The sequence below is a fragment of the Homo sapiens genome, chromosome 8 (genome assembly GCF_000001405.40).
Source record: "Homo sapiens chromosome 8, GRCh38.p14 Primary Assembly".
NCBI lineage: Eukaryota > Metazoa > Chordata > Mammalia > Primates > Hominidae > Homo > Homo sapiens.
Window position 1 is genome coordinate 1,354,941 of NC_000008.11, and position 13,924 is coordinate 1,368,864.

A 13,924-nucleotide genomic window follows, 5' to 3' on the forward strand; every position below is an offset into this window, starting at 1 on the left:
GGGTGGAAAGTCACGGATGATGCTGCGGATGAGGGTGGAAAGTCACGGATGATGCTGCGGATGAGGGTGGAAAGTCACGGATGATGCTGTGGATGAGGGTGGAAAGTCACGGATGATGCTGTGGATGAGGGTGGAAAGTCACGGATGATTCTGTGGATGAAGGTGGAAAGTCACGGAAATGTGCGTTGTATGTTTTAAGTGGCAAAGCCGAGCAGAAAGCACCGTGAAAGCGGTGACACTGCATGCCCGTGACAGTGGTGGCACCCGCGTGCTGGCGTGACAGCGGTGACACCTGCGTGCCAGTGTGCACAGCACAGGCAGAGAGCACCTGTGTGTTAACAGGCAGTAACAGGGGTTGTCTCTGGGTGGTGAGATTGTCGGAGATTGTTTTTGTTTTTTTATCTAAGCAAGTATGAGTGGTTTTTTGTTTTTGTTTTTGTTTGAGATGGAGTCTCGCTCTGTCACCCAGGTTGGAGTGCAGTGGCTCAATCTTGGCTCACTGCAACCTCCACCTCCCGGGTTCAAGCGATTCTCCTGCCTCAACCTCCTGAGTAGCTGGGATTACAGGTGTGTGCCACCATGCTTGGCTAATTTTTGTATTTTTAGTAGAGGCGGGGTTTCTCCATGTTGGTCAGGCTGGTCTTGAACTCCTGACCTCATGATCCACCTGTCTCGGCCTCCCAGGGTGCTGGGATTATAGGCATGAGCCACCGCACCTGGCCAAGTACGAGTATTTTTTAATGAAAAAATAAAACAAATGCTTGATTGACTGGTAGCCACAGAGCTCTGAACAAGACTGGTCCTGTCCCTGTGGACAAGTGCCCCACAGCTGTGTGGCTCCCTGTCTCCTCCCACAACCCCCACCCCACGGTCCTGGCCATGCCCACCAGCCAGTCCCTCAAAGCTAGTCCCCTTCACTCCTACCCTAGGGTCCCTGTCTGCATTATAATCACCTGTTCATATTCAAATTAAGCACATTCCATGCACAGGCAATTCAAGTACATGCGTGTTGGGAAGCACCGGTGGCCTCACCCAAGGCTCCGCATTTGGGTGTTTGTGTATTTCCCCCCTCCCTGCCTTGCATGATCGGGGCCACTGCACTGTCGGTCAGTATGGGGCGGCCCTCACACTACGCCAGCCAGTGCAGGTCCCTGGACAAGGTGGGCCCCACTGGGAGTTGACGGACGGTTCGTGTGGACCTCACAGCCCCTGCATGGCTCTTGCCCTGTGGTTGATGCTGCTCTGTGGCCCCCTGGAGAGGCTCCCTTTGAAAGGTTTTGCTCAGGGACATGGGACCCGGGGAGCCATGGTGCAGAAAGCTCACCTGCTGTCAGCTGTCCTCTGGTTTTGCAGCTGTATCACTCCCCTCACCTTACGGTTTCAACGTTTACAGGCAGTAAAACAAATCCTCATTTTCTAGATGTTTAAAGCTCATTAAGTTTAGGATGCCAACCAGAAAAATAAAACCATGTGAAACCACAAGCGCTTTCAGGGGAAATGCCCGTCAGAGGCTGCAGTGGGCGTCTCCAGGGCTGCGGACTCTGGGTCCTGGTTCTGTCTGTGCTGGTGGCCTGGGATGGGAAGCCAGGAAGCGCTCCTCCCTCGGGGTCCACACTGTGAGAGTTACCCTGTGGCCCCCCAGGCAGAACATGACGGAGATGCGCAGGAATGGCAAAGTACGAGGGGAAAACAGACAGTGGGATATGGTGAAACCGTGACGGTTGGTGAATGAGGTGAGTATGAGCAAACGATCATTCGCCACAATGTAACCCTACAGTAAAGGGTAACAGGCAAGGCCAAGTATGGATGAAAAACAGACAGTGGGATATGGTGAAACCATGACAGTCAGTGAATGAGGTGAGTATAAGCAAAGGGCCGTTTGCCACGATGTAACACTACAGTAAGGATAACAGCCAAGCCCGCACAATGAGGAAACACCTCGTCTTCAGGGTGTGCCCTTGTGTCTACAGTGCCCGTGTCTACAGCGCACGTTCATTCGGCAAACCCGCGAGCAGCTGCGAGGGCTGAGGCTGTGCTCATAACCTGGAACACACAGCGGGGTAGGGCTCAGAGCTCAGAATCTGGCGGGAGAAATCATCCTCCCTGTTAACGTCTGTTCTGTTTGCAGACTTTGATCCAATGACATTAAAGCAGATGAGCCACCCAAAACTAATATACAGTGTCTACTGCAGAAGACGTGTGCTCTTCACCAGTCTGTGGACCAGGAAACGAGCCGCTGGGGATCTCAGTCGCAAGGGTGCTCAGGTGGCCTTGGTGCAGACACTCACAGCTCTCAGACTGCAGAGTGTGCCGGTCCTCGGAGAAGGGGTGTCCTTCAGGGCAGTGCTTCTCTGGCTGATGCCACAGACTGGCTAGTGGATGGCCAGACTCATCACACTGACACCCCTGTTCACCTAAACCAGATACAACCCCTTCCTGATGCATCTGTTGGTGCCAAATCTTTTTTTTTTTTTTGTAGCTTTTTATTATTAAAACAGTCACTGCAATTATCAGGAGTCGTCTAATGTACAGTGACTGCTATTCCTATTGCTGGTGAGTGAGAATATTAATACCATCTGTAGTAGTGAGACAGCAAATATTTCCCGCCTCACAGGTGCCCTGGTATTTTAGTGCAGAAAATATTCTTACAGTTCCCTGGAAAGCACGCTTTATAAACTCTTACACATTTTCAAAATAAAGATTTTTTAAAATAAACCTTTTTGTCTCTGACGGATTTTAAGTCTCATAACATGAGACGTCAGCCTTGCTGCGATACGCAGCACCACACCAGAAGCCTCCAGCAAGCGCTGTGTTCTGCTGTGGTTCTGAGCAGCCTCGTAGTGCCATGCAGTGCTCTTCAGACATACGCTGGGGCTCAGGGCTGTGGGCCTCAGAGCACAGGGAGGGGGCAGGTCCCCATGGGGAGGAGCAGCTGCCCCTGCACCTGCATCTAACTGACATGGATGTTGGCTCCCCACACTGTGAGCACCTGGGTGTTTCTGGCTCCTTTACTGCTGAAATTTAGGACAGACCCAATCGACTTAGAGAGCTGTCTCAGGACTCCTTGACAAACCAAATGGAGGAAGGAGGGGAACAGCTGGCAGGTGCTCCAGGAGTGGGGGCACAGGCAGCGTCAGAACGCAGCCCCCTCCCAGGAGGAAGTTGGGTAGAAGTGAAGATTGTAAAATAAAAGAGAAAATCCAGGTGCATCCTTTTCTGAAGTAGCTTTGTAGGTGAAAAGTTATTCAAAAGGATGTGGACGCACAAAGGAGAAGGGGCTGCGAAAGGTTTGGTGAGTGGAATGAGGTGAGAATCTAAGTAATTTCACTGAAGTATTATCTTAACGTCTTCATTTCCGATCAGCAGCTTTTGTTGCAAATATGTCAGGTTCAATCGTAGATTACGGGAAAAAGGCAGGATGGACAACTCAAGAGATCTGGTGTGGGACCCAGGCCTGGGGCTAAAAATGTATTGATCGGGGTTTTGGTTAAGGAGGTAGATTTTAGCTGTTTCTCCACACTCACAGACGTAACCATGTGAGGCAAGGGCTGCGTTCACCCACTTCACCATAGTCACCATTTCCCTCTTTGCATTCCTTAACATCACGCTGGAGACCTCAAATCTATTCAATAAAACTTAGTGCAAGAAAGAGGCCTGCAGTGAAAGCAGCGTTTGGACGGCTCTTTGATGTTGGTGTTGAGGGTTGGCCGTGGTGAAGAAGGCTTCTGATGGGCAAAGTGTCTTTAGGAGAAACGTGTTATCCCCACTGTGTAATCTGGAACCATGCTGCGCAGACAGGGGCAACCCTGGCCTATTCTTCTGCGGTGGGCTAAGCGGGGCTGGGCGGCCTGGAACCGAACTGCCTGATCAGGCCACGTTTGTCATCAGAGGCAGAAATCAGGAGCCCTGCGGCAGGGCGTGGGCTGTCTGCCACACGAGGGTGAGGTCCAGAGACTCGGGAATTCTCGGTGCAGAGGCCCCAAAGGGAGAGAGTCTAGCTGGTCAGCAGCAGAACCTCTGGGCCAGCGGGTCTGAAACTTCCCTGCACATCAGAAGCTGCTGAAACACAGAGTGCAGGACCCTGCCCCCAGAGCTTCGGATTCGGCAGGTCGGGGTGGGGCCCACGATTCTGCATTTCTAGCAAATTCCCAGGGGTTGCTGAGGTCATCAGTCCGGGGACTGCACGTGGAGAACCACCCCTCTAGGCCACGTATCCCTGCACCATAGAAAGGAGGGCCCAGGACACCCTGGAGGACAGACACCTCCTGGTAAACTCAACAGGAAAATCCACCTCCCGGGACGCATCCCCTTCTCCTCGCTGCCCTCCCTGCTGGGAAGACCCTGTCCTCAGGCGGTCCATGCGCCCTGGTTAGACGCCTTCACCCAAAGAGAGGCCAGGCACTCCGGCGCAGTTTAGGAGAAAGGAAATTGAGCCTGTGCTGCCCTGGGCTTCAGAGGAGGACAGTTTTCTTTTTTAAAACAGGAAGTAAGGACAGGTTGGAGCCCAGGAACGTGGGCGTGGGGACACGGGTGGTGCAGAGCTGCCACTGGCCTAGCCTCCTGGCGAAGGGGCAAGCTGGTTCGTGGGGACCACCCGAAGGCCTGGAGGGATTTGGGCTGAAGCCCAGGCCGCTCAGCGGGAGTGTGTGCTGTGGAGTCCCTGGTGCAGAGGCTGATGCTGTCGGCGGCTGTCCCTGTGGGTGATGCGGTGGCGCTGGCAGATAGCCATCCCCTCCCAATCCCACGGTAGACGCTGGCCTCAGCTCTTATAAAACCCGCGCGTTCCCTGCGCAGCGTGGGACTGTGGATATTGGAGGGAGGGCATTAGTATTCCCTTGTTGTGATTTGGAAACTAAATGGGCTTCATGGACTTCTCCTTAGGGTTTCTGTCACTCTATAAGCCTTGCTAGATGAAGATACAGTGTTTTTCTGTCCATAAATTTGTTAAAGAAAATCTCTTGGAATTTTGCTAAGGCAATTGGAGAGTGACTTAAACAGGACCGTCCTGAGTTCGTGGACGAGTCCACGGGTCCTGCCAGCACACCTCAGCATCGCCGGTGTTTCAGCAAAGAATCCAAAGAAGAACAGGACCATCGCGAGCCACTTTCCGCCTCTTCATCCCCGTCCACTGAGGAAATCCACCGAAGCCCTTTGTGTGGGGTTCGGAGGAGAGCGGGTTGCAGGGACTTGCCTTCTGGGTGTGACCTTGGTGCAGGTGCATAAGGGTTAGCGACTCCTGCTGCTTCCCGGGTGTGCTCAGGGGCGGGGCTTTTCCGGGGCGGGGCTTCTCCGGGGCGGGGCTTCTCCGGGGCGGGGCTTCTCCGGGGCGGGGCTTCTCTGGGGCGGGGCTTCTCCGGGGCGGGGCTTCTCCGGGGCGGGGCTTCTCCAGGACGGTGCTTTCAACAAATCACCAGCCCAGGGTGCAGCTAGAGGCTTTGCGCTGCGTCTGTCTGAGCCTGTGTTGGAGTAGAGTGCATGGGTGTCCTCCAGGTGCCCTGAGTGTTTTGCCCACTCCAGGAAGCAAATTGAAGGGACCCTGCCCCACTGCATGCGGACGTGGCTCAGGGTTGGTTGTTTGCCCTCGAGGGGCAGCACGGGACCACGGCTGTGCCATCTGGGTGAGCTGGGCTGGCAGGTACCCCGAAAAGCACACAGGGAATCCACAGGAAATCCACCTCAGCCAGGGACATATGCACACCCCCCACATCCTGAAGGCAACTGCAGCTCTCAGAGACCGAGAAACACACACCACACCGCCCCCACCATGGAGATCGGTGGCCTCGTTCTTCCGGTAGCTTCCAAACTCCTGTTTGATCATGATGGTCTGTCTCTTGTGTGGCCTGACACGGTTGCCCAGAGGCACGAGGAAACAGTCGCCCTGAGGCAGGGCGTGGGCCGTCTGCACACGACGGTGAGATCCAGACAGAGACCCGGGAATGCTCTGGCCCCACCGGACACGTGAACACGGTTTCTCGCCTCTCATCGCTCACGTGTTTCAGAAGCACAGTGCCGAGTGTCTAAAAGGGAAGTGGGTGATTACAGAAAAAGTTTCCAGGCTTAAAATTTCATCCTGAGAAGGGGAAGGAAACTCTTCTGTGATCCTTTCCTTTTAAGCTTTGTGTGGGCAGTGGCCGGGACCAGCCCCAGGCTGTTCACAGTGATGGTGCAGACGAGCTGAGATGGTCCTTGGTGGTGACTGCCTGGGGCCTCACCACACCAGATTTGCAACAGTGTCTGCAGGGGTCGAACCACCAACTGCAAATGTGTAGCCCTGACCATGGTCCCTGCGGCAAGGTGACTCCCCAAGGACAGCAGAGATCCTGCTTCTCCAGTCGACATTTCATGGATCACATTCTCCCCAACACACAACTTTAGAGTAGACTTTTATCCCTCCACAGTCTCTACTTCAGATGCTATTTATAGGACTTGGATTTATCTTTCTTAGTGCTTTATACAAATAAAAACAAACAGAAATCTATGTGTTGCCTTTAAAAATTACTCTAATCTCTGTAGTTTTTCCCCTTATCTTCAGAACTAAGGTAACACACGGCTCTGTAGGTAGCCGTCTGGTGCTGAGAATTGCATAAACATTTCTTCAGCTTCTTCTTGCTCGTGATTGTTTTAGAAAAATGATGTTAAATATGTTACTGAGCTTGATACATTCTTAACTCACTGCATCGTTTAAACGGAGCATGGGAGCCCCCCTGGGTCTGACTATTAGCTTTCTCCATTTACTAAATTGATGTCAAGCACCTTCGCGCAAGGCCCTACACGGTAACTGAGCTATGAGGAAGCTGCGAGTGAGTCGGAAATTTGTACAAAAATCCAGTGGAGGAGAAAACCCTCCAAGAATCCACCTCCGTGAGTCAAATTCTAAGAGAAACGTGCTCGCGGCGTCTTCTAGTGCAGGCCTGAGCCCGGCTCCCACGGTTTCATTTCCGCTGGTTCTGTGCTCTCCTGGGCACTAACTGTGCTGCCCCAGCCTGGCAGGTCTCCTGGGAAGAGGTGGACACCTCCTGGCTGCAGGACACCTCTCTGGCACCTCCTGGCTGCAGAGGTGGAATGGCCCCTTCCGTGCTACGGTGGCAAGTTCGGTGTCTGGGGTTAAAGTTTAGGAGAATGAAAGAGAATTCAAGGAGAGCGGTACAGCTGGGACTCGGGGAGTTAGCGTACTTCAAACCCAATTCTGTGATCTGAGCCTTCTGAGGCATCCGCAGCGCCGTCTCGGCACTGGCAGGGGAGGGCAGGGGCGGCCGAGGTGGCAGCGAGTCCTCGGGAACTGTGGGTGGGACCTGGTGTTCCCCACAGTGGCAGCTCCACTCAGGGCCAGGCAGGTAAACGGGTCGAATCCTGGGTCTTAGGGATGTGGCCTGGGTTTGGACCCAGGTCCTGCCACTTACAGCTCTTGACCTCAGGTAGGTTGCCCCTTCTTGATCTTCCATCTTCCCATGTCCCATGCGGACAGCAGTCCCGCCGTCACAGCGCCCTCGGGAGGCTCGGTAAGGGCTGGCGTGGTCCATGTGCAGCCTCCGGCGGGGACACCCGTCAGTGTCCTCATTTCCCCTTACACTGTGTGGTCCCCGTGAGCCTTGGCTTCCACACTAACCATGGTCTAGCCCTGATCTCTCACGGCCACAGTCACCATGGAAAATTCTGACGCGAGGCCATCTCTCCCCTTAACACCAGCACCGTCCTCAGCTTTCTCTGAAAGCATTTTACAGTGGCAGGCAGTGCTGAGCCCCGAAATAACCTAAATCTATTTTCCGCCCATTTGCTTTTTAATTCAAGAGCCAAAGCCTTAGTGTCAAGCAACAGCGTCCATTTCTGTACTTCTTTGACCCCATGCATTTGGGATTAGGAGGCGCGACCGCCTGGGCTTCTGGGCTTCTCCTGGTGAATTTTGTTGAACGTTTCAAAGTCAGTGGCTAGTTTCTCTTGTCTTTTCCCTTCTCTTCTCGTCTTTCCCGTCTGTCTGTCTGTCCTGCTGGCTTTCTTCACTTCGGGGCAGCACCCTCAGGGGATTTGAGGGCCTGGGGCAGCCATGGAGGAAGCCACATCTCAGCCCCACCGCCGGACACAGGCCTGAGCCACCAGATCCTCTAAGCTTTAAAGAGAAGCCAAAAATCTGGTTTCTGTCTGAAGTCTTCTCATTTTTAGAAGTTGGCAAGTAATTCATAAAAAGAAAATACCATGTGGGCCACACAAAACCATCTGCAGGTGGAGCTGGCTGCCAGGCTGCGGGCACCAGCCTTCCTTTCTGGGAAAGAAATGGAGATTCACACGAAGGTACGGGCAGCACAGGCAGCATCCCGAAAGCGCCCCCACGCCCATGGCATGCTTGCGGCTGTCTCTCCTGCCTCTGCCTTGCAGGTCCCACGCCCGTGGCATGCTTGCGGCTGTCTCTCCTGCCTCTGCCTCGCCGGTCCCACGTCCGTGGCACACCTGCGGCTGCCTCTCCTGCCTCCACGTCGCAGGTCAGGAGGACAGAGGCACCTGTAAGCCCTCCGTCCCCCACACGCGTTTCCTCCACCACCCAGTGATGGCCTTGTCCACAAAAAGCCATCCTGGCAGGAGCTCAGGGCACGTTTCCCTGCAGGGATGGTGGGGTCCCCGGCATTTCCAGAGGAACTTGGTCCTGGCTGTCTTCTCACAGCCCTGTCAGGCGACATTGGGATCTGGACCTGCAAATCTCCTCTGTCTTCTGGCCCTCTTGACCTTGCTTCTGGGTGGGGACAACAGTCAGGACATGGAGAGAAGCTGGAGAGAAGGAAAGAGAACCCGACGCTCTGGCAGCTCCTCTCTGGTGGCTGAGATGCATCCTTGCTGTGTGGGAACCACGGGCGACTGAGCCAGGCCTCAGAGGCTGCGGGTGTGACAGAGCCCGGCTGCCCGTGGCAGGCCTGGCCTTGGCCTGCCACGTCTCTGGGAGGCCTCTTCTGACCACCTGCTCCCCGTGAGGTTGTGCCGGCTGGGGGGTCCCTCCCTGACAGTGACAGCCAGGCTATTGGCCATGGCACAGTAGGAGTCAGGATGCCTCCCCAGCCCCTCATCCTCTGTCAGGTGCACCAGGTGGTACCCCTCACTGATCCTCATGGAACCCCATATGGGGGTCTTCCTCACTCCTGCCGCCTTCAGGTGCAGACCCCACCTTTGGGATAACACAGCTCTCGGCCCCACCCACCTTCCCTCCTGAGCCCGTCTCCCGTGCCTCCTCCCACTGGATGACATGTTGCATCGAGGAGCCCTGTACAGAGGGGAGGGGCGGACGGTGCCCCCGGGCTGGATCCCAGCTGTGGGTTTTGCCTCAGGTGGCCTTGAAGCCAGCTGCCCCCAGAGGAGGGGTGCCCTGTGCTCCAGGTGGGGACAGAGCTGGGGTGAGAGAACCCAGACTCAGAATAGGATCGTTCTCGTGATCGTCAAGGGCTGCCACGTGCGGAATGAGGAGTGGTCTCCTGCTGTGGGCAGGCCTGGGGGCCTCCTCCACCCCGACCTTCAGGAACCCCAGATTCTGGTGAAAGGGCACCGCTGCGAGAGGGAGGCGGGCGCCGGTCATGGGAAGGGCGGGGGGGGTGCAGCGAAGCAGACACATTTTCCCTGGAGGACTGGGGCTGGCGGGAAGCGTCTCTCAACTCCATTCCCTCATCTTCGCAGCAGGGGCCGGCGTGCCGCCTCTTCAGTGGTTCTGTCAGTGACACAGATGCATTGTGTCAAAGTGAAAATTGCTCTGGGCAAAGCTCGACTGGCAAGGAGGACTCCAATTAAAGCTTGCGTGGGGGAGACAGGCCCGAACTCAGCCAGAGCTCAGCTCCCCTTGAACGAAGGACGAGAGGGCTTCTCAGAGCTGGAGAGAGAGGGGACGCTGTGCATTTACGTCGGAGTTGGGGAGGCTCCCAGGGCTTTGCGTTTGCTGATCAGCCTTTTCCAGAGGAGGAGCAAATTCTCTTATCTTCATGGCAGGGGGTAGTTTTAAAACTTGGAACAGCAGCGAAGCTCCCACCTTCCTCAGAGACTGGGCACAGGGCCCCACTCCCTCCATGCCTGTGTTCACAGGGATGGGAACCGGGCCCTCAGAGACACGCACAGCTAGGAAGAGCCTGGCAGAAGATTTACGACTGAGATGACCATAGAGAAACCCCGCAAGGACACGTTTTTATAAAGTAGATGCTCTACGAAGCGGGAGGTCAGGGGCCTGCAGTCAAGACAAAGCCATCTGTGGTTCGGGGCATTTGAGGGGTGTGTTAGGACCTGGGTGGTCACTTCTACCCGGTCCACACCTGCACCTGGGAGACACTCCTTAGGGACCCCTCACTCTCCCAGAGCCTCAAGCTCCGGGGATGTGTGGCTCAGGTGCTGAGCCTGGGATCTCCGCACCGAGGCTGCAGGTGGCCCAGGGTCCCCAGATGCTGGGAAACAGGCACAGGGGAGCAGGGAGATGCTTGGATTCCTGCCTCTCCACTGGCTCTCCTCTCCAACCGTGGAGGGGGAAGGGGCAGATGGAGCTCACTGGAATCCACAGGGCTCACTCCTAATGAAGAAGAAACTGCAGTTACTGAGCAGGTGCCCTCCCAGGTCCAGGATGGCAGGTCCGGCAGAATGTGGATGGCTTCGGGAAGTTTGCTCGCCGAGATAAAATAATTCTTGCCACACTAAAAGCTGCTACCTGGATGTCCTCTAGCTATTAATGGCATTGACCTGTCTCCAAAACCAAGCATCCAAGTGTGCCGAGCCAAGCAAAATCAATCTCGGGTCCCAGTAGATGGAGCCGCTGCAGCCAATGTCACTAAATTTCTAAATTTCCTGGGAGTTCTGAGGCCCACGCGGAGGGCGAGCCTGTGAGAAGGCACGTGGGGGACCAGAGCTGTGCCATGTCTCATGTCGGGGCCCTGGGGGGCCGCAGCTCAGACGTAAATACACAGTGTCACCTCTCTCTAACTCCCCAGAATAAACATCTGCCCAGGAGGAAAAACAGGTGATGGCAGAAGCCACATGCCTGTAGCTTCACGTCTCTTTGTGGAGAAATTGCTCAGATGTCCATCATCCTTGGGAAACCTCCCCTCACGGCACCGTCCAGCCTGGCTTCTGCCACAGAGGTGCCATCCCAGGAACCGCAGCCGGGCAGGGGCAGATGTGCCTTATGTCACTGTGCACCCGAAGGCCAGACACTGTGCTGGGGATTCATCAAGTTTTTACAAGTTGAAAAGTTTCCTATTTTCTTTTTCTTTCTCTCCTTTTCCCTCCATTTAAACAATGAATTCTAATGTGCTGCTTTCTGTACTGTCAATATTCATGCATTTGTTTATTCCTTCATAAAGTAAACATTTATCACCCATTTGTACTATAGCCAGTGCTAAGGACTGGAGATACAGGTGCATGAGACATGTCTCCTGTTGTTTAGGAATTCCCAGGCTGGAGGGGCTGCACACCCAGGGACAGAGAACTGTCATTCTGCAAGGGCATGTTGTGAGAGAACCAAGCGCACTGTGTCCTCAGGGCAGCAAGAACAGACGTGGGTCCCCATCTGAAGTGGGGGGCAGCCCAGGAGGCCTTCCTGGAGTTGGTCTTCCTGAGCTGAGGCTTTGGGGATGTTCAGCGGCTGACCTGGGACAAGGCAGAGGTGTGAGGGGAGGGATGGGGCAGAGGCACCCCGGCAGAGCAGTGTACAGGGGCACAGGAACAGAGCAGGGGACCCAATGGCGTGGAGAGGTGGCAGAATTCACTTGGTGCAGAAGAAAGGGGCAGGACAGGAGGTGAGCTGGGAAGTGGAAAGAGATGCCTGCACCCCACAAGGATGGAGAGCAGGCATCATCCAGGAGGCTGGACCTTCTGTCTCGGGTCCCCGCAGCACGTTTGCTCAGAATAAGAAAAATGTAATAAGGGGGTCTGTGGTGAAGTGAGTTACTGAGAGATGCAAGAAATGCTAATAACAGTGTTAACATTTACATGGCAACCCCTCCAACACACATGCATGTGACCACAGACCCCGGTAAATAACACTGTTAGCATTTACATGGCAACCCCTCCAACACACACGCACGTGACCACAGACCCCGGTAAATAACAGTGTTAACATTTACATGGCAACCCCTCCAACACACACACATGTGACCACAGACCCCGGTAAATAACACTGTTAACATTTACGTAGCAACCTTTCCAACACACATGCACATGACCACAGACCCCGGTGACTATATGACTTATGAACTGCAGATCATATTTTGAGAAACAGTTTATCTTAGGAATGGGGGGTTGGCCATTGAATCAAAATGCAAGAATTTTGACCATAGCCTGGTGACTTCCTAGGAGTCACCATAGGTGACATAACACAGAACATGCAAACTCAAAAGCTTTCTCTAGGAATTGATGCCTGAAGATGATTCTTTTGGATTCTCCTTTTCATCTCAAACCTTTTAAGATTCTGCTGAAAACTTGTTCCTGTCTCTCTGGGAAAATCCACAGACCAACTAGCACACAAAAATTAGCACACACTAATGGGCGTTGTGGCTCAGAGCCTCATTCATAACTCCCAAGCCCAGCACGTGCCTGTGGAGCAGGCGGAATTCCAAAAGTCCAGGCACACCCTGCTGGGGGCCGCAGAGGACAGTGGGATCGTTGTCACCTCCCCTCTAGAGCTGCTTTCACCATTCTAAAACATCAGGAAAGGCATAGCTCACATGTTGCTAAGAAAAAGCATTTTGGAAGGTAATTGTGGTTGCTATGCATGGAAACTATGCTACGTCTTAGTTTTGTAACAAAGAGTGTTTAATGCGTGTCTCATTTAAAACGGTTCCCTATTGCAGCACGTCCTTCACTGCAGTTCAGAAAATCACTCTGTTGTGTATTTACGGTGTATTTGGATTAAATATCAAGATTGTATCACAAATAGCAAGTTATTTAGCCTTTATCTAGACATAAATCATATATAAACTGGTAAGAGAGAGAAGAGGGGGCAGAGAAGTCAGATACCCGAACAAGCTCAGTTGTTCCGGATGATCTTTAGTGCCTGGCATGGAGCCAGCACAGGCTTTGCCGTCAGGATTCACCTCCCTCCTCAGTCACCAGATGGGGACTGATTGGTTTTATTTTGGGGATTGACTCTGCTTTCACATTTTAACGTGCATACCTATCACGGCGGCCTCCTGTGTTGCTGTTGTGTTGAGTGCTGATTGTATGTATGTAGGCATGTGCGTGTATGCATGTGTATGTATTTGTAGTGCACATACGTGTGCATGTGTGTGTGTATGTGCACGTGTGTGTACGTGTGTGTCCATATATCTGTGTGCAGGTGTGTATGCATGTATGTGTGAGCATGTGTGTGCGTGTGTGCAGGTATGTGTGTATGTGTGTGTATTATGTGTATGTGCATGTGCATAGCTGTGTGTGTGCATGCATGTGTGTGTGCATGCGTGTGTATATATGTGTATGGGTGCATGTGCATATGTGCATGTGTGTGGGTATGTGTGTGTGCATGTATGTATGTGTGCAAGTTGTGTGGCCACACGGGGAGCTGTGGGCAAAGCTCTCCCCTATGCTGTGCTCTGAAAAATGTAGAAATACAATGAGGTCTATCACAGTAAATATTTATAGAATATACCATCAAGCCTGACCTCCATTTATTAAACATGGGCCTATTTGGGGAGGATTAATAATTAAAAATGGATAAAGGCAAATCTTTCAAGATGACTAAGATGTTTATGAGTCTTTTTGTGCGTCTGGTGCCGTATATCAATTTTTTATTTTTGGCATAAAGCATGTGGTATGCTACAGCGTTACCTCATTAGCTGGTGATCTAATAATTCATTATCTGCTGACTCCAGAAATACAGCCGCAGCAGCCCGTGCTGGCTTGAAATCCAAGGCATCTCTGCAGCATGTAGGTAAACTTTTACTTAGCCTGGAACCATCTATTCCTGATGCTCTCCCAG

General features: G+C 53.4%; 1 protein-coding gene and 1 long non-coding RNA gene across 2 annotated transcripts in view, besides 1 other annotated feature; both read left to right on the forward strand.

The window, feature by feature from the left end:
- Positions 1-2,715, forward strand: part of LOC124901869 (uncharacterized) — a 36,226-nt gene extending 33,511 nt beyond the window's left edge. Inside the window, exon 2 of the long non-coding RNA XR_007060782.1 lies at positions 2,129-2,715. This is a non-coding gene — a long non-coding RNA (uncharacterized LOC124901869). The remainder of the gene's footprint in view (positions 1-2,128) is intronic.
- Positions 1-13,924, forward strand: part of DLGAP2 (DLG associated protein 2) — a 970,849-nt gene that overhangs the window by 617,313 nt on the left and 339,612 nt on the right. The window lies entirely within an intron of this gene.
- Positions 5,693-6,234: an enhancer, noted in NCBI's record as "H3K4me1 hESC enhancer chr8:1308799-1309340 (GRCh37/hg19 assembly coordinates)". NCBI's record gives its function as "activates a minimal SCP1, AML or CMV promoter by ChIP-STARR-seq in naive H9 embryonic stem cells {active_cell/tissue: H9 hESC(naive)}" and the evidence as "EXISTENCE:reporter gene assay evidence [ECO:0000049][PMID:30033119]".